Here is a 26,196-nt window from a genome sequence, read left to right as displayed (position 1 = left end):
ATGATGTAGTAGTACGATGTCGTGGTACCCGACATTGCAGGCTCTCAGGCGCTTCTATATTATTAATATAAAAGAACATATGGGAACTTGGCTCAGTTATTTCTCAGGTCCTTCCCAAGTGGCATTCTGTGATTTTAAAATGATGTTGGATCCAGGGAAGAAGAACGCCTTGTTGGCATCTTCATGTTTTTCCAAGCTGTTAACCAGATGTCATCTCTCCAGGCAGATCAGCATCCCCGGAGCAGAGGATTTGAAAGCCCAGCCTTTCGGATCCTATCACCATGGCTTCCGCTCCAGCCCAGAGATGTCAAGGCTGGAATTCCTGGGCTAGGTTCGAAAATGCCCAGGGCATTCCAGAAGGAAACTCTAGGTGGTGGATATATGCATGTACATTTTAGAGACAAGGTCTCACTCTGTAGTCCAGGCTGGAGGGCACTGGCGCGATCATAGTTCACTGTAGGCTTGAACTCCTGGGTTCAAGCAATACTCCCTCCTGAGTAGCTGGGACTACAGGTGCACAGAACCACACCCAGCTAATTTTCTAATTTTTATTTTTATGTAGAGATGGGGTCTTTGCTCTGTTGCCCAGGCCTATAAATTAGATTTGTGGTGTGTAAAATTAGGTAAATTAGGCTCCACCAGTGTTGGTTATGGTAAATGATGTGCCTGAAACATGGCAAATACTCCAAAAAATTTTTGAATATGTCTCCCATAAACAGCAGATCATTCAAATTTATATTTAACAGAACTTTCATATGAACGATTTGCTTTATAATAGGGAAATGTAGGCCGGGCGCAGTGGCTCATGCCTGTAATCCCAGCACTTTGGGAGGCTGAGGCAGGCGGATCATGAGGTCAGGAGATTGACACCATCCTGGCAAACACGGTGAAACCTCGTCTCTATTAAAAATACAAAAAATTAGCCAGGCGTGGTGGCGGGCGCCTGTAGTCCCAGCTACTCGGGAGGCTGAGGCAGGAGAATGGCGTGAACCCGGGAGGCGGAGCTTGCAGTGAGCCGAGATCGCGCCACTGCACTCCAGCCCGGGGAACACAGCGAGACTCCGTCTCAAAAAAAAAAAAAAAAAAAAATAGGGAAATGTATTGTGTTTACATTGTTATAGTTGTCATTGTTAGATTGACTTCTGTCATCCTCTTTCATGTTTCATTTCTGTGCCTTTTGAGGCAAGCACTCAATTTGCTGTCAATTTTTACTTTGGTTTTGGAATAAACATCTCATTGAAAGTTCTATTGGGAGCTACCTGAAAACACTTCAGAAATACAGATGAGTATTTACAGTCTCTTTTGGTTTCCTTTTCCAGATTTAAAGAAATTTTCCAACTTTAATTTTTGTTTTTCTAACCTCTGCATCCTTTTATATTCTAAGTAAGTTAATTATCCAAACTCTCTCTTTTTTTTTTTTTTTTTTTTTTGAGACAGAGTCTTGCTCTATTGCCCAGGCTGGAGTACAGTGGCACCATCTCGGCTTGCTGCAACCTCCACCTTCTGGGTTCAAGCGATTCTCGTGCCTCAGCCTCCAGATTAGCTGGGACTACAGGCATGCGCCACCATGCCTAGCTAATTTTTTTTTTTTTTTTTTTTTTTTTTAGTAGAGACAGGGTTTTGCCATGTTGACCAGGCTGGTCTTGAACTTCTGACCTCAAGTGATCTATCGGCCTGCCTCAGCCTCCCAAAGTGCTGGGATTACAGGTTTGAGCCACCGTGCCCGGCCCAAGCTCTTACCTTCTGAGTTGGTTGTTGTTGTTGTTGTTGTGTGTTGTTGTTTCCCCGTCAGTTACACCTGCTATTTATGTTTGCCTTAAACGACCTTTCTGAGCTCTGTCTGTCACTTTGTTTGGATTCCGTGGTCATCCCCACAGACTTCAAGATTCTGTTTTTTCAAGTTTTTTGTTTATTTTTTCTGCCTTCAGCCTGTAAAATGCTAGAGCCCACTTGCAAAGAATCTAACAAGGCAGTTGGCTGGAGAACTTTCTGGGGTTTGCGGCTCAACGCCTCAGAGTGATTCTGCCCTATTGGCCAACGATGAACGCCAAGGGTGGGACCCAACCAGAGGCATCCAGCCTTTCTCAAAATGTCTGCTCTGGGCACCTTGAACAATGAGGTCATGCTCTGCAACTCCCATTCACTCTCTATGTCAGAGTCGTGTCTTTTCACTGCCCACAAATTATCCCCAGCAATGCGCCCTGCTGGGAGCCAGGATGCAACCTCAAGACACCTGTATTTTGTTTGGTAACAAACTTCACTCAAAAGTTCTCTAAGCGTGGCACTGAAGACATCCTTTTTGGAAAGGGTACACTGTACAAAAGTATATTTTGTACAATTTGTTTCTAATGTTAAGAATTAGGTGGAAGTTACGGTTCCTTGCATAAACCCTCGATTCTGTTTGTTTTGCAATAGCTGTACCCACAGGCAGTAATCATTTTATAGACGGGAACACTGGGACTTGGAAAGATAAAACTATTTCGTTCACTTAAGAAATACTTTTCAGCACCTGCCATGTGGCACTGGCGATCGAGCTGGGAACACAACAGACTCTTTCCCTGCTTTCCTATATCTCATCTAATGGTGGAGACAGGCCGCGGACAAAGCCATGTGTAATGCAAAGTGAGGCAGTGCATGTCGTGGGTTGAATAATGTCCCCTGCAAAAGATATGTTCATGTCCTTACTCCTGGAAGCTGTGAATGTGACCTTATTTGGAAAAACATCTTTATAGATATAACTAAGGATCTCAAGATGAAATCATCCTGAATTAACTGAGTGGGCCCTAAATCCAGTGACCAGTGGCCTGATAAGAGACAGAAGAGAAGGCCACCTGAAGATGAAGGCAGGGATTTGATCACAGGCTGCAAACCACCTGGGTCCATGAGAAGCTGGAAGAGGCAGGAGGAATCTCCCCACACCCATCATGGAGGGAGCACAGCCCCCCTCACACCTTGATTTCAGACTTCTGCCTCCAGAATGGAGAGAGAATAAATTTCCACTGTAGCCACCCAGTTTGTGGAGCTTTATTGCAGCAGCCCAAGGAGACTAGGACAGTGAGTGACACTAAGAAGAAAAGTGAGGCTGGGCGTGGTGGCTCACGCCTGTAATCCCAACACTTTGGGAGGCTGAGGCGAGTGGATCACCTGAGGTCAGGAGTTCGAGACCAGCCTGGCCAACATGGTAAAACCCCATCTCGACTAAAAATACAAAAAGTTAGCCGGGCGTGGTGGCGGGTGTGGTGGCCTGTAATCCCAGCTACTCTGGAGGCTGAGGCAGGAAAATCGCTTGAATCTGGGAGGAGGTTGCACTGAGCAGAGGTTGTGCCACTGCACTCCAGCCTGGGTGACAGGGCGAGACTCAGCCTCAAAAAAAAAAAAAAAAAAAAAAAAAGAAAGAAAAGAAAGAAAAGTGAGCAGGATGGGGCCTGGAGAGTGGGGCCTCTTGTAGCTAGAGGAGTCAGGAGAGGCAAGAAGGGACCTCTGTGGGTACGGCGGGAGGACGGAATATTCCAAGCAAAGAGAAGGGCAGGAGCTAAGGCCCGGAGGGGGAAACATCTCTGCTGCTACCACAGTAGTCAGACCCCTCTTATGTGAACCGGTCTATGCATTTGCACCAAAATGAGGGTCACGCTCACACGCTCCCCACACACAGCCTGTTTCCAGGCGCTATTCACGTCTTACTTTCATTGTTTCATAGCCATTATTTGCTGAATGACAGGCAAACGTTGGCTGAGCACTTCCTGCAGCTGTGGGCACTGCTGGGCTTCTAAAGGGCTTAATTCCAGCAGAAGCAACAAGGCACTGCCCCTTGGAACATGACACCAGGTGCCAAATGAACGCGGCTCGGGACTTGCTAAATTCCAGGGGGTAAACACACAGCACAGATGCCTCTGCTCCTCCTCCCTCTTCTGACACCTGTAGCAGGCATCAGTATTTGATCACCAGGCAGCATTTCCCCCTTGGCTGGGACAGGCCTCCGAATCCTCCTTATCAAACTTCAAGTAGCCACTGACAATTATTTGCACCTGGCAAATGAATAAACCCATTTACCAAAGGATTTTCAGAATAAGGAATGATGGGGACAGGGAGGAGTTATGGAACCTTCTAGAAGATAGTGGGATGGCTGAAGGAGAGGCTCCGTCCATGTGGAGAGAAAAGTCAGGTGGGGAGACAGAAAGAAGACCCAGACAGAGAAAGACTGACCTCAGAATTCCCAAACTTCAAGATCTTTTCTCTCTCTCTTTTTAAGCCTGCCTGCTTTAAAAAAGAAGAAAAAGTTTTGTAAGAGACAACTTCTGACTGTGTTGCCCAGGCTGAATTCCGACTCCTGGGCTCAAGGGATCCCCAGCTTCAGCCCTCTGAGAGCACCCCCGCACCCGGCTCTTTTCTTTTAACTTCTCCAAGATCTCTTTTCACAACTCTTTCCCACGCCAATGGATGGTTGTCCAGTAGGATTTTGTCTACCAAACACCATGGCAGTTATTAAGTATAAAACTGACTCCTTTTTAAAAAAAACTTTAGTTTTGAGAGCAGAAAAAATTGCACAGAAAATAGTTTCCATGTGTCCCTTCTCCCAGCCCCACCCCCACCCCGTGTCTCTTATGAATAACACTGTGCATTGGTGCGGCACATTGATGCCACTGATGAGCAAACATTGATTCATTATTAACTAAGTCCCTTTTTTTTTTTTGAGACAGAGTCTTGCTCTGTTGCCCAGGCCGCAGTGCAGTGACACGATCTCGGCTCACTGTAACCTTGCCTCCTGGGTTCAAGTGATCCTCCTGCCTCAGCCTCCTGAGTAGCTGGGATTACAGATGTGCATCACCACATCTAGCTAATTTTTTTGTATTTTTAATAGAGACAGGGTTTCGCCATGTTGGCCAGGCTGGTCTTGAACTCCTGGCCTCACGTGATCCAGCCACCTCGGCCTCCCAAGGTGCTGGGATTACAGGCATGAGCTACCGCGTGCGGCCGGTCCATTGTTTACAGTAGAGCTCACTCCTGGAGTCGTACATTCTGTGGGTTATGACAAATGTATAAATGACATAATGACACGGGTCCACCATGGCAGTGTCATGGAGATTAGTTTCACTGGCCTAAAAACCCTCTGAGTGCCATTAATTCATCCCCCACTTCCCTGGACCCCTGACAACCGCTGATCTTTTTACTGTCTCTATAAGTTTTGCCTTTTCCAGAATGTCACACAGTTGGAAATGTGACTCCCTTTCCAAACTTACTCTCCTTTCAAAAATTCAAAAGCATCCAGGCCTGTCACTCAGAGTCAAGAGAACTGCGATCCAAAGCAAAGAGGCCCAGGGCCTTCCATGTTTAAACTCACCAGTTTGTGCCTGCCACGGTCACTCACGGAGGTAACCACCCTGATTTGGCCAAGATGGTCCCAGTTTTACTGTGGCTGTCCTGGCATCTTGAAACTCACAAGAGATGAGGTCATCCCCTTGGTTTAAAATCCAGACTCCTTCATAGGCCACACCAGGGCCCTGTAGCCCTGATGCCTGACTCTCTCTCCATCTCTCCACTTCTGCCATTCGAAACTTCCTTCCTTCTCTAGGCCCCAGGTATGTGCTCTCTCCCTGCCAGCCTCTGCCTGACCTCTTCCCTCTGTCTGGAACATGCCCCAGAGGCCCCAGCACCCCTAAATCTCACCCTGCCGGCTCCTGCGCATCCTTGAGGTTGTAACTGAGTTGTCGCTTCTCCAGAGAGGCCCCTTCTGATCCCTGGACCAAGTGAGATCTCCTGCAGCGGGGAGCCCCACTGCACCCACGGTTTCCCCAAAGTGATGGCAACTTTATCACAGTTACGAGTTTAAAAGAGGGCGCTGAATGCAAACAGCGCTAACGTCCACCAACAGAGAGCAGGTGAACAGCACGTGGCATGCCCAGAGGATGGGACATGGTTCAGCCATAGAAAGGAATGAGACACTCATCCACACGACAGGTTGGATGGGCTTGGAAAACATGATCCACGTCAAAGAAACCAGTCACAAAAACCACATCCTGTGTGACGCCACTCAGGTGACCTGCCCAGAACAGGCAACTGCACACAGACAGGAAGCCGATGAGTGGTCGTCAGCGGTTGCGGGGAGGGGGCATTGGGAGCTGCTGGTGTTTCTTCTTTGGGTGATGGCAATGTTCTGGAATTAGAGGGAGGGTTTGCATGACCTTGCGAATATACTAAAACCACGGAATCACGCTTTTAAATGGTGAATTTTGTTTGGATTGTGTCTCCATACAAATCTATTTTAAAATAGGTTCTGAAGACATACTTGTTGAATGGAAAATGAATGAATATTTTTAACTGGGAAGCCTGATCGGAAGTTAAATCTATGATTTTCGTTGGCTTTTGGATACAATAGAATTCAAAGTTCGCAGTTTCTCTCTTTGCAAGTTCCTAGAACCGTGGGCTTCCCAAGTGAGGTTGTGCCTGAAGGGGTGAGGTCAGTTCTCAGGAAAGCAGCTCTTAGAAATGCAGGAGGGGCAGAGTGCACAGGGGGTCTGGGGCCGGATCTTCCTTTCTCCTCGTCCGGTGTAGCCTGTTCCCCAGACTCAGTTGCCTGTTGAGGAATTCAGAGGGGCTTGGGATCCCCTCCAAGCAAGGGCACAGGGTGGTGGTAGCCTCCCCTCCCACAGTCGATTCTCAGTAACACAGAGAGGTGGTAAAAGTGAACGTCAGAGCACATACCTCCCCATTTCAAGCCCCGCATAACTTGCTGTAGCAGAAGCTGCTGCTCATAGCCCCTCTCCACTCACCCTCAACAAGGTCTGCTTACTGCAAACACCTGAGGCTCTCTGCTTGAGGGATTTTATTTTGGCACCTGGGCCAGAAATAAGGCCATGTTAACTCCCCGCTTCACTTCCCGGCATTCCCCCATGACTGACCCCAGGGGATGGGTAGACGCCCCAGCTTCTGCACCCCCTGTGAAGTGAGATGCCTCCCTTCACCACTCCTCCACAACTGTTTCCTGGGGTTACCTTGGGGGACCCCGGGAACGTGGAGAACCCGAGTGAAGACCTTGCCATCACCCTTGTAATACAATTAGATTTCTTATTCTGGCCCCAAGAGGCCCCATCTGTCAACTCCCCTCCTCCTGCCCCAACCCTGGTCTCCTGGTCGTCAAACGAGCTGAGCTGAATGCTGCCTCCAGGCCTTGGTACTTCCCATGCCCCTTTGCCACACACGCTCTGCCCCCAGCTCTTCCCTGCTACCCTCCGTTCAGGGAGGCCTTCCCTGAGCACCCCACATAAAGCGCACCCTCCTACTGCCCTGCCACTGTGTTCCCTTTGTAATCACCCATTGAGCGGAACTTGCAGTGTGTGTACTTTTCTCTAGGTCTAAGTTTCGCTTCAATTAAAAGCTCTGAAAACAAAGCAGGTCAAAGTTTAATGAGAAACAGGATATTTGAAGCTCTCAAAGTATGTCCCTACCAGAGACTTATTCATTGCAAAGGGAAAACAGTCACTTTACAGTGGAGAAACCTGGCACACACCAACCTTGCCAGGGGATCAACATGATCATCACCAGGAATGGGATGAGACACATCATGTGCCCCCAATATGATTCGCAAAGGAGGACACGGTGCCGCGTCTGGGGCATTCCTGCAGAGGCTGAGCCTGAATCTCAGCAAGACGTGCATCACACCGAGGTGCAGGACGTTCTGGAGTTTGACTGGCTTGGATTCTTCAAAAATAACCATGCTAGGAAAGTCAAGGGAAGGCTGTGGAATGTTCCAGATTAAAGGAGACTAAAGGCCAGGTGTGGTGGCTCACACCTGTAATCCCAGCACTTTGGGAGGCCAAGGCAGGTGAATCACTTGAGGTCAGGAGTTCAAGACCAGCCTGGACAACATGATGAAACCCCATCTCTACTAAAAATACAAAAATATAGCCAGGCGTGGTGGCAGGTGCCTGTAATCCCAGCTATTCAGGAGGCTGAGGCAGGAGAATAGCTTAAACCTGGGAGGCAGAGGTTGCAGTGAGCCAAGATCATGCCACTGCAGTCCAGCCTGGGTGACAGAGTGAGACTCCGTCTCGAAAAATAAAATAAAATAAGGCCAGGCGCGGTGGCTCATGCCTGTAATCGCAGCACTTTGGGAGCCCTTTGAGGCGGGTGGATCATCTGAGGTAGGGAGTTCGAGACCAGCCTGACCAACATGGAGAAACCTCATCTCTACTAAAAATACAAAATTAGCCGGGTGTGGTGGCGCCTGCCTGTAATACCAGCTACTCGGGAGGCTGAGGCAGGAGAATCGCTTGAACTTGGGAGGTGGAGGTTGTGGTGAGCCAAGATTGTGCCATTGCACTCCAGCCTGGGCAACAAGAGCAAGACTCCATTTCAAAAAATAAATAAATAAAAAAGGAGACTAAAGAGCTCCCTGATGGTAATCAAATGCAACTTGCAGTTTTGGGTCAGATCCTGGATTGGGGGAAAAAAGGTCTTTCTCTTTTGCTGTAAAGGACATCAGTGGGACATTTGGTGAATTTGGATAAGGTCTGTAGAGAATTGTATTGTCTGGTGTGAACTTCCTGATTTTGATCACTGGACTCTAGTTATGTAAGAGAATGTCCCTGTTTTTTTTCTGAAAATGCACCCTGAAGATTTTCAGGGTAAAGGAGAGGGAAGAGGAGAGGAAAAGGGAGGGGGAGAGAGAACACACAGACCTGGGGAATCCGGTGAAGAATATATTCAGATCTCAAAAGGTCACATACCGTGTGATTCTCCTTCATACCATGCTTGAAATGACAAGATTATAGACAAGGAGAACACATGAGTGGATGCTGGGGTTAGGGGTGGTGTGGATGTCACCACAAAGGTTGTGCAAGGCGGACCTAGGCGTGATGGAATCGTTCTCTTCCCTAGCTGTACGGGTGGCTGCATGAATCTATACAGTGAAAAAATGACTCAGAAACCACACACAGTGGCCCTCCCTCCGTCTGAGGTTTCTGAGGAGCCTGCGGATACTGGGAGGGCTGACTGGGGGACTTGAGCACCCTGGGATTTTGCTGTCCTGGGAGACAGGGTCCTGGAACCAATCGCCGTGGATACCAAGGGACTGCTGTGCTCACATTGTAGCTGCACACGTTTCCTGGCTTAGATTTGGCACTGTGGTTATGTAAGATGTAACCATGGGAAGAAGCCAAGTGAAGAGTACCCTGGACCACATCCTGGAAATCTGTAATTATTTGAAAATACAAAGGTAAACACACCTCTGTCTCTCTCCATTCCTTACTCGGCTTTATTTTCCCCCAAAGCCCTTCTACCACTGACTTGGTCTGTTTGCTTTTTGCCCGTGCCCCCCCTGGACTGCCAGCTCCCTGAGATCTGTTATCTTTCCTGCTTTATTCCCAGCACCTGGAAGTGTGTCTGGTACATAGTAGGGGCTTGAATGGAATGTTTACTGTGTTGAATGAACAAGAGAGCCCTGGCCCGAGGCGGCAGAGTGCCTTGGCCCCAGTGAACCTGAAGGGAGCCAAAACCCAGGGACAATGACTACATTCAGGCGCCCACCCCGGGAAGCCTGGGGAGCTCCCATGGTGATGGGACTGGATGCCGCAGCTGGCTCTTTGCATTGGGTCTGGCTGTCATTTTTACCAGCCAGCCTGGACACCAAGGGACTTTTGATCAACAGTTTGGGCGGTACAGGGGCGGGTCCCATGAACCCAGTTAAACCAGTAGGAAAGCTGGTTAATTCATTCAACAAATATTTAATGAGAGCCAGAGGACCTTGTGGGAGGATAAGAATAGCCCAGTGTGAGCCAGCGATACCGCTGACCTGCCCCCGGGCCCTGTGCTCAGATTTTGCCCTCACTTCATCCTTGTAACAATTTGCTTGCGCTCAGCATTTTGCGCTCACCATTTTGCAGAAGGGGAAATTGTAGCCAACAATGTGGTACCCACCCAGATCCCCTCAGACCCGTTTTCCCCGTGTGGTGCCCCCCTCCCTCAGTGTTGGGGCTTCCTCAATAACCCCCAGCACCTACAGATTTTTGAAGGCCAGGTCTGGGCTCCTGGGCTGCTTTGCCTGGACACGCAAGACCAGAAGTGCCTGGAAACGTTCTCACCCCCAGGCAACCGGCAAGTGCGAGGCAGGAGGTTCTAGCCTTTGGTGGGACAAGGCAGAGGCATAACTCGCCCTTCACAGCTCCCAATGGGGTGAGGCCAGGCCTGGGACTTGGCCTAAAACTGTACCCATCCGCACTGTGTTCCTACACTCCCTTGCCAGTTTCTGTTGTGGCACTTCCTTCATAAATCACTGGCATGTGGCCTGGGATGGTGGCTCACACCTGTAATCCCAGCACTTTGGGAAGCCGAGGCAGGAGAATCGCTTGAGCCCAGGAGTTCGAGACCAGCCTAGGGAGAGCCCATCTCTACAAATAATTTTAAAATAAGCCAGGTGTGGTGGTGTGCTCCTGCGGTCCCAGCTACTCAGGGGGCTAAGACAGGAGGATTGCCTGAGCCTGGGAATTCCAGGCTACAGTGAGCTGTGACTGTGCCACTGTACTCCAGCCTGGGTGACAGAGTAAAACTCTCTTGGCGGGTTGGGTGGAAATCACCAGCATGTGAGTCTTTGTCTCAGGACCTGCTTCTGTGGAACCTGACCTGAGACACGATCCGAGACACATGGTGGTTGAGTCTGTTGATCACAGCCACACAGCTAAGAGAAGATGAAAAGCCAGGTTCTGTGTTCCTAGAGTCAGATGCCCAGGAGTCAGATGCCAGAACCTGCACTCCTATCATGCTGCACTGCCTCCAGCTAGACCACCCGCCCACCCACCCACCTGTGCACCCACCCATCCATCCATTCATCCATCCACCTACCCACCCCATCCATCCACCCATCCATCCATCCACCCACCCACCCACCCATCCATTCATCCAACTACCTACCCACCCATCCATCCACCCACGCATCCACCCACCCATCCACCCATCCATCTACCCATCCATCCATCCACCCACTCACCCATCCACTCATCCATCCACTCATTCATCCACCCATCCACCCATCCATCCACCCATTCATCCACCCATCCACCCACCCATTCATCCACCCATCCATCCACCCTTCCATCCACCCATCCATCCACCCATTCATCCATCCACCCACCCACCCATACATTCATCCATCCACCTACCCACCCACCTATCCACACACCCGTCCACCCACCCATCCACCCATCCATCCACCCATCCATCCATCCACCCACTCACCCATCCATTCATCCATCCACCTACCCACCCATCCATCCATCCATCCACCCACCCACCCATCCATTCATCCATCCACCTACCCATCCATCCATCCATCCATCCATCCATCCATCCATTCATCCACCCACCCACTCACCCATCCACCCTCCCCTCCACTCCTCCACCCACCCATCCATCCACCCACCCAACCACAAACTTATTTTGACCAGCCCCTACTGCTAGGCATGGAGGAAGACTGGGGATCAGGACAGATGAGGGCAATTATGACTCTCAGGTCCCTCCCTGGAAGCTCTCAGCCTACTTAGGAAGGAGACTCAACCTCATCCCTCTGATCACTCACTGACTCAAAAGTCATGGACTGAGTACCTACTGTTTGCCTGCACCACGCTAGATGTCAAGCAGAGAGATGACTTAGGGTCTCTACCATCTAAGAGCTCTCAATCCAGAGGAGGAGCAAAACCACATGGCACATGTTATGATGACACCATGTGCAGGCACAGTGGGGACACAAAGGCAACCTGTAGGTGAGGCTCAAGGAAGGCTTCCAAAGAGGTGATTCAGAGCCAGCGCTAAAGATTGAGCAGAGTCCTGGCAGGAGAAGGGGTTGGAGACGTGCTGCCTAGGAGAGCAGCAGTGGTTGCACAACATTCGGGGTTCCTGATTGATGCTGAAATGAGGGCTGGGAATTGCAGCAAGCGTGCTCCTGGCCCAGGTCTGCAGGCAACGCCTTTGGAGGTGGCCCTCTGCCTGTCCTCAGACAAGGGCCTCGAGTCACACCCTCCCATGGGAAAGCTTCAGTGTGGGGCTGAGCTCCAGGGCCCTAGTTTGATCCCTTCTATGCTTTGGGACCTTAAGCCATATATCTTACCCTCAGAGCCTTGGCCTCTTTCATCTCTAAAACGGGTCAGTTACATGTACCTTACAGGCGGTCATGAAGGCTACACAAGTATTGCCTGGCTCCAAGGAAGTGCTGGATAAATCCAGCAGGGCCCAGGTGTGTTTGGGCAGGTTGGTGGATCTCTAGGGAGCGCCACTGACACGGTTGTGATTTGCATATGCTGATGGCAGAAGATGGGGCCCCCTTCTCCAACCCCCACAAAGACACTGAAGGGGGTTGTGAGTGCCCATGGTTGCACTGCTGGGTCCTGCCTGGGGAAGGGGTCCTTGGTGCCCATGTGGGAGTCCCGCCACTGAGAGCTGCTCACCAGAGCCCAGGAGCTTCAGGCCCCTCCATGGGTCCTTGGGGCCAAGTCAGGCCAGGGAGAACACAGGGTGGGAACCCTTTCAACAGAGGGTAGGCATGGACATTTAGAAAACTAAATTCACTCTGGGTCAATGCTTACTTTACCTGTGACTTCTGGGAGTTCTTGACAAATTGCGCCACTCCCTGAGCCTCATTTCTTTTCTTTCTTTTGAGACAGTTTCGCTCTTGTCGCCAAGGCTGGAGTGCAGCGGCGCAATCTTGGCTCACTGCAACCTCCGCCTCCTGGGCTCAAGCAATTCTCGTGCCCCAGCTTCCTGAGTAGCTGGGATTACAGGCGCCCACCACCATGTCCAGCTACTTTTTGTATTTTTAGTAGAAACGGGGTTTCACTATGTTGGCCAGGCAGGTCTCGAACTCCTGACCTCAGGTGATCTACCCGCCTCGGCCTCCCAAAGTGCTGGGATTACAGGCATGAGCCACCGCGCCCGGCCTCATTTCTCACAAGTTGGAATGGAAGGAGAATACTGCCCCCCACTCAGGGCTGCTAAGGACTGAATGGGCCCAGAATACATGAGGTCAGGCGAAAACTCCCAGCCTAAGGCTGCTTACGACCTTGAACCCGAATGCTGAACTGGGATGCCCAAAAACAACCACTTCCCCTGTGAAAATTCTACCCTCCTGAAGTTATTGCATTAGTTTGTTTATTTTGTTAATGTTTTAAGTGTTTCATAAATGTGTTTTCATTTAAAAATACAATTCCATTTATTTCTCAGGACCTGGCCAGCATCATACGATATCACTTTTTTTTTTTTTTTTTTTTTTTGAGATGTAGTCTTGCTGTGTCGCCCAGGCTGGAGTGCAGTGGCATGATCTTGGCTCACTGCAACCTACGCCTGCTGGGTTCAAGCAATTTTCCTGCCTCAGCCTCCTGAGTAGCTGGGACTACAGGCGTGCACCACCACGCCCAGCTAATTTTTGTATTTTTACTAGAGACAGAGTTTCACCATGATGGTCAGACTGGTCTCGAATTCCTGACCTCAGGTGATCTGCCCGCCTTGGCCTCCCAAAGTGCTGGGATTACAGGCCTGAGCCACCACATCTGGCTGAATAGAACAACAGCAACAACAACAAAAAAAAACAACAAAAAAACATAAAAACTGTTTCTCTCTTCTCTCATGATGAACTGTACCCCAGCTGATCTTCCTCCAGGCTTTGGGACTTTGGGCCATGTACTGGAGCCTTGGGCTCTCTTATTTCTAAAAGGGTTACACACACCTTACAGATGGTGATGAAGGCTACGTGAGTATTACCTGGCCCTGAAGAAGCCCTGGGTAGATAGAGTTTCTCCACATTGGACTTGTGTCTTAGCTGTCAGGACACTCAATGCTCTATTTAACATTCCGTACCTGCTGAGCTTCACCTGGCAGTATCAGTTGGAAATCGCCTGGTTACAAGCAACCGAACTGACTCTGGCTCTATTAAGCAAAGCAAAAAAGGGAATTTAGTGGAAGGATCAGCACCTCACATAATGAAGAGGAGAAGGGCAGAGGTTCAGGTTTGGAAATTGGGAAGGAAACAAGGGAACTTGAGGTGAGGGTGGCCAGTAAGCCAGAAGCTCCACCACCCTCACCTGGCCAGCAGCCTTGTCAGGACATAGGGGCAGGGAGAGGAAAGATCTGTCTTTCTCAACTTCTCTTGTTTTTTTTTTTTTTTTTTTTTTGAGACGGAGTCTCACACTGTCACCCAGGCTGGAGTGCTGTGGCTCAATCTCAGCCCACTGCAACCTCTGCCTCCCAGGTTCAAGTGATTCTCCTGTCTCAGCCTCCTGAGTAGCTGGGACTACAGGTGCATGCCACCATACCCGGCTAATTTTTGCATTTTTAGTAGAAATGGGGTTTCACCATATTGGTCAGGCTGGTCTTGAACTCCTAACCTTCAGTGGTCCGCCCGGCTTGGCCTCCCAAAGTGGTGGGATTGCAGACATGAGCCACCGCACCCGGCCTTTCTCAACTTCTCTAATGGGAGGGGAGTCACTGTCTTTCATCCATCCACCTGCCCATGCAGCAAAATAGTTACTAAGTGCCCATCAGGTGCCATATATTGTGGGAGGAGCTAGGAGTGGGGCGGTGGTGGCGGTAGAAGCAGCCAGGTAAAGGCCACAGAGGTTCTCTGTGACTAGGTGTTCTATATTAATCATCTGGCTGAGTGCGGTGGCTCATGCCTCTCATCCGAGCACTTTGAAAGGTCAAGGTGAGAGGATTACCTTAGAGGATTAGTGAGACCTGTCTCTACATATATATATGCATATGTATGTGTATGTATACATATGTATGTATATGTGTATATATGTATGTATGTGTGTATATATGTATGTATATGTGTATACACACACATACATTTATATACATATATATATTAACCATCTCCTCCCATCTTATTATACTTTTAGTGCCTTGTTTTGGGTTCCCCAGAGGCAAATCCTGAGAGGAAGATTTGAATGCAAGCGGGTATATTTGGGAGGTAACCCTGGCGTGAATTATGCTCCCCACAGAGGGAGCATCACTGAGCCCGTCACCACTATGGGCAATAGGAGCTCAGTGTTGCAGGGGATGTCTGTGAGATGGTATAGAACACAGAGTTATCCCTACCAAGGGGTGGGGAGCCTGGGGTATTGATCCCCAACTTCCATCCCTCCCAGGTTGAGGGCTGCTTCTCAGGCACCGCCTCTGGTCTGCCATGAGGTACACGGGCTGGGCCTGCTTCTGCAGCCAGAAAGGCAGCCCTCAGGCAGGGTGTCCCGGTCTCATATGACCTCAGGAGGCAGACTTCTTTTTTTTTTTTTTTTGAGATGGAGTCTCACTCTGTCGCCCAGGCTGGAGCGCAGTGGCGTGATCTTGGATCCCTGCAACCTCCACCTCCTGGGTTCAAGTGGTTCTCCTGCCTCACCCTCCCGAGTAGCTGGGATTACAGGCGCCTGCCACCATTCTTGGCTAATTTTCTGTATTTTTAGTAAAGATGGGGTTTTACCATGTTGGCCAGGCTGGTCTGAAACTCCCGACCTCAAGTGATCCACCCTCCTCAGCCTCGCAAAGTGCAGGGATTATAGGCATAAGCCCCTGCATCACCGGCCCGGAGGCAGCCTTCTGCAAGGAGAGATGAATGGGTGCGGGATGGAGGGGGTGCCTGGCTCATCTGCCGCACTGGGCTTTACATTTTTACGCTGGGCTTTTACAAAATATTGCACACCCCATATTCCATTTGAGGGTGAGCCTGCTCTGCCCACCTCTTTGCAGAATGTAAGTCATGAGCTCTGAAGACCGGCCTTTCTTTTCTCTCTGCACTGATTTGTGTGCTACTGCTGCTGCTGCTGAAAGAAATCTCAGATCAGAAGAAAATGTTGCTGCTGCTTGTACAGCTGCAGAGAGAGAGAGAGAGAGGTCCTATTCTACACCCTAAAACTGTCCTTGCCACGGTTACTATTTTTACCTTGTTAAATGTAAACTCAAACAGTCATTGGGAACACCCCAAACAAAGGTGCAGCTTAATGAACCCTAGAAGCCAGCAGCCAGGACAAAGAGGAACTTTGCCCCCATCCCTGCGAGCTCCCCGCAGGCCCTGTCCCTGCCCCGCAGTCTGCACCCTCCTCCGAATGTGGCCATTCTCCTGACTGTGACATTCACATGCTCATCCCTTCCTCGCCTGCCTACACACTCTGGTTTGGTTGTGCCCGTTTTGTGAATTTGCCATGTCTGTTACTTGTCTTTAGCCTATAGGTTTCCCATCTGTCTTAGTTTCCGTTGCTGCTGTAACAGATTATTACACATTTACTGGCTTAAAACAACACAAGTTGGTTGTCTTACAGTTTCAGAGGTCAGATATCCAAAACAGTCTTACTGGGCCAAAGTCGACGTGCAAGGTGTGTCAGCAGGGCTGTGTTCCTTCTGGAAACTTGAAGGGGGTGGGATCTGTTTTCTTGTCTTTTTCTGCTTCTAGAAGCTGCCTGTGATACTTGGCTCATGGCCCCTTCCTCCATCTTCAAATCTCTCTTCCTCCCTCTCTCCCTCCCCCAATCTTTCTGAACTCAGTTTCTGTCATCCCCTCTCCTCTCTGACTCTAACCGCACACACTCCCCACCTACAACCCTTATAAGGATCCTTGTGATGACATTGGACCCACCTGGCTAATCCAGGCTCCTCTCTCCATCTCAGGATCCTCAACACAATCGCACCTGGGAAGCCCCTTCTACCCTTCAGCGGACACATTCCCAGGTTCAGGGGATTAGGACATGGACATCTTTTGGGAGCCATTATTCTGTCTAACACACGATCCATCTTTCTTGCTTACAGTTTATCTGTTGAAGAATCCTGGCCGTTTGACCTGTGCACTCCTATAGTCTGGATTTTTTTTTATTTTTTCGAGACGGAGTTTCGCTCTGTTGCCCAGCTGGAATGCAGTGGTGCGATCACTGCTCACCACAACCTCTGCCTCCTGGGTTCAAGTGATTCTCTTGCCTCAGCCTCCCAAGTAGCTGGGATTCCAGGCCTGTGCCACCAAGCCCGGCTGATTTTGTATTTTTAGTAGAGATGGGCTTTCTCCATGTTGGTCAGGCTGGTCTCGAACTTCCAACCTCAGGTGATCCGCCCGCCTTGACCTCCCAAAGTGCTGGGATTACAGGTGTGAGCCACCATGCCTGGCCACAGTCTGGATTTTGCTGGTTGCATGTTCCCAGTGCCGTTCTGCCTATCCCTCTGTCCTCACTATTCCCTGCAAATTGGGATCCAGAGGGTTGCCCAGCCTCTGGATGGATGGCTTTGGTTCTGTGCTCCTGCATCAGGAGGCTCAGGATGCCTGGGGAGCGTCTCTCTTTGTAATGTACTTGTCGTTGCTCAAAGCCTAGATTCACTAACTCACTGGGGATTGCAAAACTGTACTACTCCACCATTGCTTTTAAATTTATTGATTGGAATACTTCTATAAAAAGAGGCATTTCTTCATCTGCAATTTTGTTACCGATTGGTACAGGAAAGGCAGAAGAATTGCTGGATTCCTTCCCTTTATTAGCCACTTTTCAAGATAACATGTTGGTTTCTCATCATCCTCTGAAAGTGATCAGATAGTCTTTATATTTTTTATTTTTCTTTTTTTAAATCACATGTACATATGCAAGTTTTAAAAATACATTTGTGAACTCGTGAGTTTAAACATAGGTGCATTTCCATCCATTGCAAATATTATTCATATTGAAGCTCACATGGTCACACAGCTTTGGCTGGTGGGAATGACTTCGGATTGGCCCTGAGTTCTTTGGCATAATTCTTTGCTATCTGGTGTAATAAGATAATTCAGCCTTGTCTTGTACACTGGCTGGCACCTTTCCAGTCCTGGAGTCAGCTATTTCTCCAAGACACCGTGCTTTTTAATTTTAGTGTTTGAAATGAGAAACGGCATTTCAAGACCATAATTGGTGTGTTAGGCTACTGAGGCGACTACTTTTTCTAGGCCTTTCCAGTGGTCAGGGCTAGCTGATATAAATATAAAATAAAAATTTTTTAAAATAAAATATCTTGGCCGAGTGCAGTGGCTTACACCTGTAATCCTAGGAAGCCAGGGTGGAAGGATCACTGGAGCCCAGGAATTTGAGACCATCCTGGGCAAAACAGCGAGACCCCCCGTCTCTACAAAACATAGAAAATTAGCTATGCGTGGTGATTGCACCTGTAGTTCCCACTACTTGGCAGGCTGAGGCAGGAGGATCGCCTGAGCCTGGGGGGTCGAGGCTGCAGTGAGCTTTCCTCATGCCACTGTACTCCGGCCTGAGAGACAGAGCGAGACCTTGTCTCAAACAAACCAACCTCCTGAGTTCATATCATGAACCTCTGAAATGTCTGCGTTTGGATCAGCCGTCTCATTTCATAACTCGTTGCCTTATTCAGTTGGAATTTCTGTCCTTCCCAAGGTGTAAAGCCTATGAGTTTTCTTTGCTAAGATGGACAACTGGGGAGGTTTCAGTGTCTCCCTCGTGCATGAGTATAAAGGAGACAAGGTGTCTATCCCTCTGCTAGACAGAGTTTGAGAGCCCATGTCCTTTTTATTTATTTATTTTTTATTATGAGACAGAGTCTTGCTCTGTTCCCCAGGCTGGAGTGCAGTGGTGCGATCTTGGCTCACTGCAACCTCTGCCTCCCGGAGTCAAGCGATTCTCCTGCCTCAGCCTCTCGAGTAGCTGGGATTACAGGTGTGTGCCACCATGCCTGGCTATTTTTTTTTTTTTTAATTAGAGACAGGGTTTCACCATATTGGCCAGGCTGGTCTCAAAATGCCTGACTGCAGGTGACCCACCTGCCTTGGCCTCCCAAAGTGCTGGGATTCCAGGCATGAGCCACTGTGCCCAGCCCCATGTCCTACTTAAATCACAGTACACAACTGGTTTCCTGAGGCTTGGGGACAATCAAACCTGGGACAACGGTGGCACTGGGGTTTGCTCAGAACCCAGCCCTGACCTCCTGACCCTCTGCCTTCCCGGGTGTCTGGGGAACCCCACACTCCTCAATTGCTTGAGTCTCTCGTCTCCCCACTGGGCCTGGGGAGGACAGAACATTCTAGAGACTTCTGGAGGCATCTCAGCTCTTCCAGCTAGTGGGCCCCCTCTCGTCCTCTCCGGGGTTTTGGGAAGCAGGTCCCCAGGGGTTGCTTGTGGGGCATCTCAGGAGCATTGCTCCGGGCAACCCAAGCTCAGTCCTCACCACCTCCTGCCAAGTCACCGCCTGCAGCCTCCCCACCTCGGAGACGCCTGCTCTGCCTGGAGCCCTCAGGTTGAGGGCACCCTTTGAGCCCCTCTTTAATCCTGCACTCCCCAAAGCTGTAAAAGAAGCCCCCAGTCTCCTTCTGTTCTCTCCCAGCCCTTCCCTTGCACAACAGACTCCTAGTGACTTGCTGTGATCTCACTCCCGGGGTCCTATGGCAGCCTAGCGATCCGGCCATCTCCGTTTTGGTAACAGACATCGCCGTTTTGGTAAGAACAGGACATCTTTGCCTTAACGAACGCTTTCTATGCACTAGGAACCATTCTAAGCAGTTCCTGTACCTTAGCTGGTTTGCTCCTCATGAGCAGCGTGTGAAGCAAGTGCTATTATTCGCACACATTTTATGAAAGAGGAGACCAAGGCACAGAGGTCACCTGGGCAATGAGAGGAAGAGTCGGGTCTTACTTGCTGACGGTGGGCTCCAGGGCCAATGCATCTAACTGCAGGACAAGACTGCTCAGGACTAGTCCTCAGCATCCTTTGGAGAAGAAGCCAGAACATGCACAAAGAATAAACTGATTGAGGCCGGTCACAGTGGCTCATGCCTATAATCTCAGCACTTTAGGAGGCTGAGGTGAGCGGATCACTTGGGGTCAGGAGTTTGAGACCAGCCTGGCCAACATGGCGAAACCCCATCTCTACTAAAAATACAACAATTAGCCGGGTGTGTTGGCGTGCTTGTAATCCCAGTTACTCTGGAGGCTGAGACATGAGAATAGCTTGAACCCTGGAGGCGGAGGTTGCAGTGAGCCGAGATCGTGCAACAGCACTCCAGCCTGGGTGACAGAGTGAGATCCTGTTTAAGAAAAATAAAAAATAAACATAAAAGAATACCCTGAATGCAAGAGTGGAGCCATCTCTTTGTGTCACCTGTTTCTCTCTAGAGCAGCAGTTCTAGAACTGGGGTTGGCATCAGGATCACCTGGAGGGTGAGTTAAAACACAGATTGCCATATCCTGTCATGAGATTAGGAAAAACACAGAAACAAATGAGGTTTGCCAGGTCCAAGGCTGCAGTATCTGGCTTAACAGGTCTGGAGTGGGCGTGAGATTCTGCCTTTCTAATGCGGACTCTAGTGACATGGATTCTGCTGGGTCTAGGAACCTCACTTTGGGAACTGCTGCTCTTGTAATTTTTTTTTTGAAACAGGGTCTTGTTGTGTTGCCCAGGCTGGAATGCAGTGGCGCCGTCACAGCCCATTGCAGCCTCCACCTCCCAGGCTCAAGCAATCCTCCCACTTCAGCCTCCCAAATAGCTGGGACCACAGGTGAGTGCCACCACACCAGGCTAATTTTTAAATTTAATTTTAAATTTCACGTAGATATGGGGTCTCCCTCTGTTGCCCAAGCTGGTCTTGAGCTCGAGCAATCATTCCACTTTGGTCTCCTAAAGTGCTGGGAGAGCAGGTGTGAGCCACCGTGCCTGGCCTCTTGTGAACTTTTGACCACTGAGGGAGACGAGGACTAGGCTGGTACTGCCCTGGTCCCTCCTAGGATAAAGCTGTGGTGGTCCCAGCTGGAACTTCCCAAACCAAGTGGTCTAGTGATAATGACCTCATGGGTATGTTAAGAAAGAGAAATGAATACATTATCCTCATGTATTCAAGATGCATATTCTGATGCATTTGCAGGTGACATAAGTGATATCTGAGATTTGCTTTAAAATATTCCAGCTCCTGTTCCTGCAAAAAGTTGAAGGTAAAACAGTGGCAGCTGGTGAGAAGTGCAAAGCCACCTAGTACACTGTTTTTCATGCACTGTTTATATTTTAAAATGTTAATAATAAGCCTTACTTCACGTAGACACAAAATGTTCTGGCTCCCTGACTTAGTAACTATTTGACCTAGAGTAAGAGGCTGACTTATTAGGATATCGAAGCCTTGGTTCTTTCTCCCATCCAATGGGGATACTGGCATCTTCCCAGCTGGGCTGGTTGTTGAGATCACGGATGCTGAGTGGCACTCAGCCTGGTGGGTAGTTAATGAAGCTGTAATTACCCGAATTTGCTCTTTGCTCACACATTCTGCAGTCCCCACCTGGCCAGGGAAGGCCCTCCTGTGCCCAGTGTGTAGGGGTACTGTCCATTTCAAGGCACCTGCTCAACGGGTTCCTGGGTTGAGTGTGGAACTTGCCAGAAACCTGCCCATCTGGGAGTAGGAGGTGTGGGTATGGGATGCATGACAGAAGGCCTGTCGGCCGGCACAGCCAGGAGGGCTGCCTAGGAGCTCCCGTGGCTGCCCCACACCGAGGTTCGGGCCTGCTGGGTTTTTCTTTACGTGGGGACAGGGTCTGGGGCAAGAATTCCCTGGCATCCAGATCAAAGGGGTTTCCAATAGAGTTCATGGGGCTCTTGGCCTGCCAAACTGTCTCAGTCGAAGTGTTTTCTGAGTGTTGGTTTGGTTTGGTTTTGATTGCAAATAACAGAAATCCACGTGTGCTAGCCTAAGCCAGAATCAGGGGTGCTGGCTACCGGGGACCATGGACTCATTGCCTGGAACCCAAGTTCAAAGAGGGCAGCCCCATCTCCTAACAACTGGAAGCAAGTCCTAGAAAACTGTCATGGTGGCTGGGAAACCAAAGAAAATGGAGAAGGTGGCTTTTCTTTCTCTGTCTCTCTCCTCTCCCCCGCTCCCTGTCTGTGGGTCTCTTTCTCTCTCCTCTTCCTCCTCCTCTCTTGGTTTCTCTGTCTCTTTCTCTCTCCCCCTCCCCCTCATATCAAAGATTAAAGGCAGGAGCTCCAAGTTCCATCCTCTCTGTTCAGACAGCCACCAGGTTAGGACTAAGTTTTGCCCAGCGCTTTCCGAGTGCCAAACCTACATCAGGAAGTGTCACCATTTCCTCCATAAGCGGAACACTAAGTATCACTTAGTTCCACCATAGGCCGGGAGGAAAGTGCTGGTTTCATCTTTCTCACTTCCAGAGAAGGAAATGGAAGCAACACAGAGAGGTTCACAGAGAAGTGGTAAAAGAAGCTGCCTGAACCCACGCCGCTGAATGCCTCAGTCCGGAGCCAGGCTCTAAATCACTTGCCCTGTGCATCACCTTCTAGCATCAAAGACTCAAGAGAAGGCCAGGCACGGTGGCTCACACCTGTAATCCCAGGACTTTGAGAGGCCGAGGTGAGTGAATCGCCTGAGCCCAGGAGTTCGAGACCAGCCTGGGCAGCATAGCGAGACACCATCTCTACAGAAAAATACAAAAATTAGCCAGGTGTGGTGGCGTGCACCTGTGGTCCCAGCTACTCAGGAGGCTGAAGCAGGAGGATCACTTGAACCCAGGAGGTCGAGGCTGCAGTGAGCCATTATTATGCTACAGCACTCCAGCCTGGGCAATAGAGTGAGACCCTGCCTCAAAAAAAAGGAAAAAAGAGCTGGGTGCAGTGGCTCACGCCTATAATCCCAGCACTTTGGGAGGCCGAGGCAGGCAGATCACGAGGTCAGGAGATCGAGACCATCCTAGCTAACACAGTGAAACCCTGTCTCTACTAAAAATATAAAAAATTAGCTGGGTGTGGTGGTGGGCGCCTGTAATCCCAGCTACTTGGGAGGCTGAGGCAGGAGGATAGCGTAAACCCAGGAGGCAGAGGCTGCAGTGAGCTGTGATCGCACCACTGCACTCCAGCCTGGGCAACAGAGCGAGACTCTGTCTCAGAAAAAAGAAAAAAAAGACTCAAGAGCACATTCTTGGAAGGGAAATAGAATTGGCTCAGCTTGAGTCAGGTGACATGTTTCTGGACCAATCAGCTGTAGCCAAGGAGGTGGGTCTCATACGAAGACCATGAGGACCCCGGGCCCAGCGTGATGGGACGGTGGGCCTGGCACCCAGTCCCAAAAGCCTTGCTTCCTTCCTTTCTCCTGGATAACCCACCTCTGCCTGCCACAGACACCCAGAACCCTGCTGCCTCCATCTTCCCACTCATGCAGTTAGATGAGGCCTGAGCTCCAATCCCACCCCTGCCATTTCTCCAAGGATCCGCTCTTGGGCAAGTGACTTCACCTCCCTGGGCCTCAGTCTCCATTTGTGAATGGGGCCATAATTCCCACCTCTCAGGGGTGTGGGGAGAGTCGGTGACATAATGACCCAGGTAAAACTTTCAGCATCTCCACATTATTTTCAGGGGTGAGAAAAAAGAAATGGCTTGGAGTCTGAGCTTCCTGGGATGTGCAGAATTCATCAGGCTCGGAAAGACGAGAGTGTGGGACCTCAGTCATGCCGTCACCCCCAGGCCTAGGGGTAGTTAAAGGCATTTTGTTCCTGACTTGCTGCCTCACCCGCTATCTTCATGTTCTGGGAATTTGTGACACAAAGAACAATGCCTAGCCAAGCAATAGTTTCTATTATTTTCATATAAATTCTTGGTAAACAGCTTGGGAACTGCCTTTCCTTTTTTCCTTTAAAAACCTACTTGTAACTGCTGCTGAGTGGACTTTATATTCAGAGCAGCTTGAGTCCATACTCTCAGGTTGAAATCCTCAAGCTTGGCCCAAATAAACTCTCTACTTAATTTAACTAAGTAATTAAGTCATTTTTTCCTCCGTTGTTTTTTTTTTTTCCTTTAGGTCAACAGGGTCAAGTTCAAACTCAGCGTGTGAACCGGCTGGCACCTGCTTAGCTTTCTAGCCCCACATCCTCTCACTCTTGGGTGCCCCCTTTCCCTGGCCATGCCCACCTGCTTGGAGGTCCTTGAACTTCTCTTCTCCATGCCTTTTTCAATGTTCTTCCCTCTGCCTGGAATGCCTTTACCCCTCTTCCCTCTCCTGACCTAGCCGCTTGCTCCCTGCTGGGGGTTCAATGACGTCTCCCCAGAATGCCCATGTCCTAACCCCCAGAACCTGCGGATGTGACCTCATTTGGAAATAGGGACTTTGCAGATGGGATGAAGTTAAAGGTCTCAAGAGGAGATTATCCTGGACTTAAGAGGGCCCTAAATCCAATGACAGGTGTCCTTCAAAGAGAAATCAGAGGGAAATCTGGGACACGGAGACAGAGGCAAAGGCCACGGGAAGACGCTGCAGAGATGGGAGAGGCACATCCTCAAGGCCGGGAGTACTGAAGTGGCCGGCTGCCATCGGAAGCCGGGAGAGAGGCGCCGGGCAGATTCTCCCTCGAAGCCCGGAGAGAGGCACGGGTTGGATTCTCCCTTAGAGCCTCCGGAATGACCCAGCCGTGTCAACACCTTGGTTTTGGCTTTCTGGCCTCCAGAACAGTGTGAATGCATGACTGTTGTTTCAAACCACTTGGTGTGTGGGCATTTGTTAACAGCAGCCACAGAAACTCATACTCAGAAACTTTGCTCAAACGTTGCCTCCTCTGGGAAGGCCGCCCTGACTCCTCATCTCGACTGGAGGCCCAGATCCCAGTATGACCCTCTCCTACCTCTTACCTCGGTGGCCATGATCAGCGACGCACCTGTGTGGCTTCACTCCAGAACGTAAACTGAAGGGCGGGATTCCCTAACGGCTTAGATTACAGCAGCCTCTCCCAGAGAAGTCCACAGTCTAACAGGCCTCGCAGCTGTCAACAAAAGATGGTTCTGTAATGGTGGAACTTCAGGCAGCTCACAGGGGCCTGCAGGAAGGATGTTTTGGGGGCTGGGCTCCTTTTCACTCAGGCTCCTACTCCAGGTGTCTGCACGGGAAGAACCTCTGTGGGGGCTGTAAGATCAGGTTTGTCCTGAAAGACAGTCACCTGAAATGAACCCACCTGCCTTCTCTTTGGACCAACTTACTGATATCTGTGAGAATGTTCTAGAAAAAAGGCTCAGGGTGCGAGCTTATACTGGCAACTCAGATGGAAAGCAACCTGGGAGGGAATGTGGCCACATCCGAATAACCAAAGTCCAAAGGGATTATTATTATTATTATTATTATTATTTTTCTGAGACAGGGTCTTGCTTTGGCATCCAGGCTGGAGTGCAGTGGCACAATCATGGCTCACTGCAGCCTCGACCTCCTGGGCTCAAGCGATCCTCTCACCTCAGCCTCCTGTGCTGGGACCTGAAGTTGTGCACCACCATGCCTGATTTTTTTTTCTTTTTTTTAAGAGACAGAGTCTCACTTTGTTGCCCAGGCTGGCCTTGAACTCCTGGGCTCAAGCAATCCTCCCACCTCATTCTCCCAAAGTGCTGGGATTATAGGCATGAGCCATCATGCCCGGCCCAAAGGGATGATTTAGTTAAGTTTGCCCTTACGGAAAAAGCTGCTTTCAGGGTCCTTGGATGGCGGGAGGTGCTTTGTCTCCAGCAGGCCTGGAGGGGCCCACAGGCTTGCCCACTAGTTTCCAGCGTCCCGGTGCCCCGTCTTGCAGTGGGGACCCAAAGCACCCAGGGGCCCATCCCGCAGCCATGCTTTGAGACCCTGTTTGCTGTCAGGAGGGACAGAGTCCTCTCAGCCTCTGGCCACCCCTGCTCCCTGTGGCTGTGGAACCGTCCCCAGGTGGTTAGAGAGGTGGCCGCAACTGAGAAATTGCTTCCTCAATACAGGAGAACTTGTGCTGCAAGAGAGAAAACTCCAGACAGGGGTTCAGAGAAGTGGGGCTGGCCTCCTTCTGTTCCTGGAAGAGTGGGAGAACGGGAGGTGGGGCTCTGATGTCCCAACAACCTGCCCCGCCAGTTTCCAGCTGTGAGGCCGTGGGGAGATTGCCACATACTCCCGTCTTCCTCATATTCCATCCACACGTGGGTAATAAAACCACCTAGTGAGGAGGAGGTGACAGTGCAGTCAGGATCTTTTGATGGTGATGGTTGCTCATGCAGCAAGATCACAGAGCTACACACACGTGCAAAGACACACACACACGCACGCACACACACACCCGTGCAGAGTGGGACACAGATGAGTATGCTCCATGGAGATTGCCAGCGTCACCTTCCCGGTTTTGATGTCATGTCGTAACCGTGTGAGATGTTACCATGGGGGAGGAGGGGTGGAGGGACCAGGACCTCCCTGTATATTTCTTTGCATGT

General features: G+C 50.1%; 1 annotated feature.

The window, feature by feature from the left end:
- Positions 5,182 to 6,381: an enhancer, noted in NCBI's record as "MED14-independent group 3 enhancer chr16:84393612-84394811 (GRCh37/hg19 assembly coordinates)". NCBI's record gives its function as "activates an origin of replication core promoter dependent on BRD2, BRD4, P300/CBP and CDK7 cofactors, and independent of MED14, by STARR-seq in HCT116 cells {active_cell/tissue: HCT116}" and the evidence as "EXISTENCE:reporter gene assay evidence [ECO:0000049][PMID:35650434]".

This window comes from Homo sapiens, chromosome 16, assembly GCF_000001405.40.
Source record: "Homo sapiens chromosome 16, GRCh38.p14 Primary Assembly".
NCBI classification, from domain to species: domain Eukaryota; kingdom Metazoa; phylum Chordata; class Mammalia; order Primates; family Hominidae; genus Homo; species Homo sapiens.
This window is presented reverse-complemented; position numbering and strand designations above follow the sequence as displayed.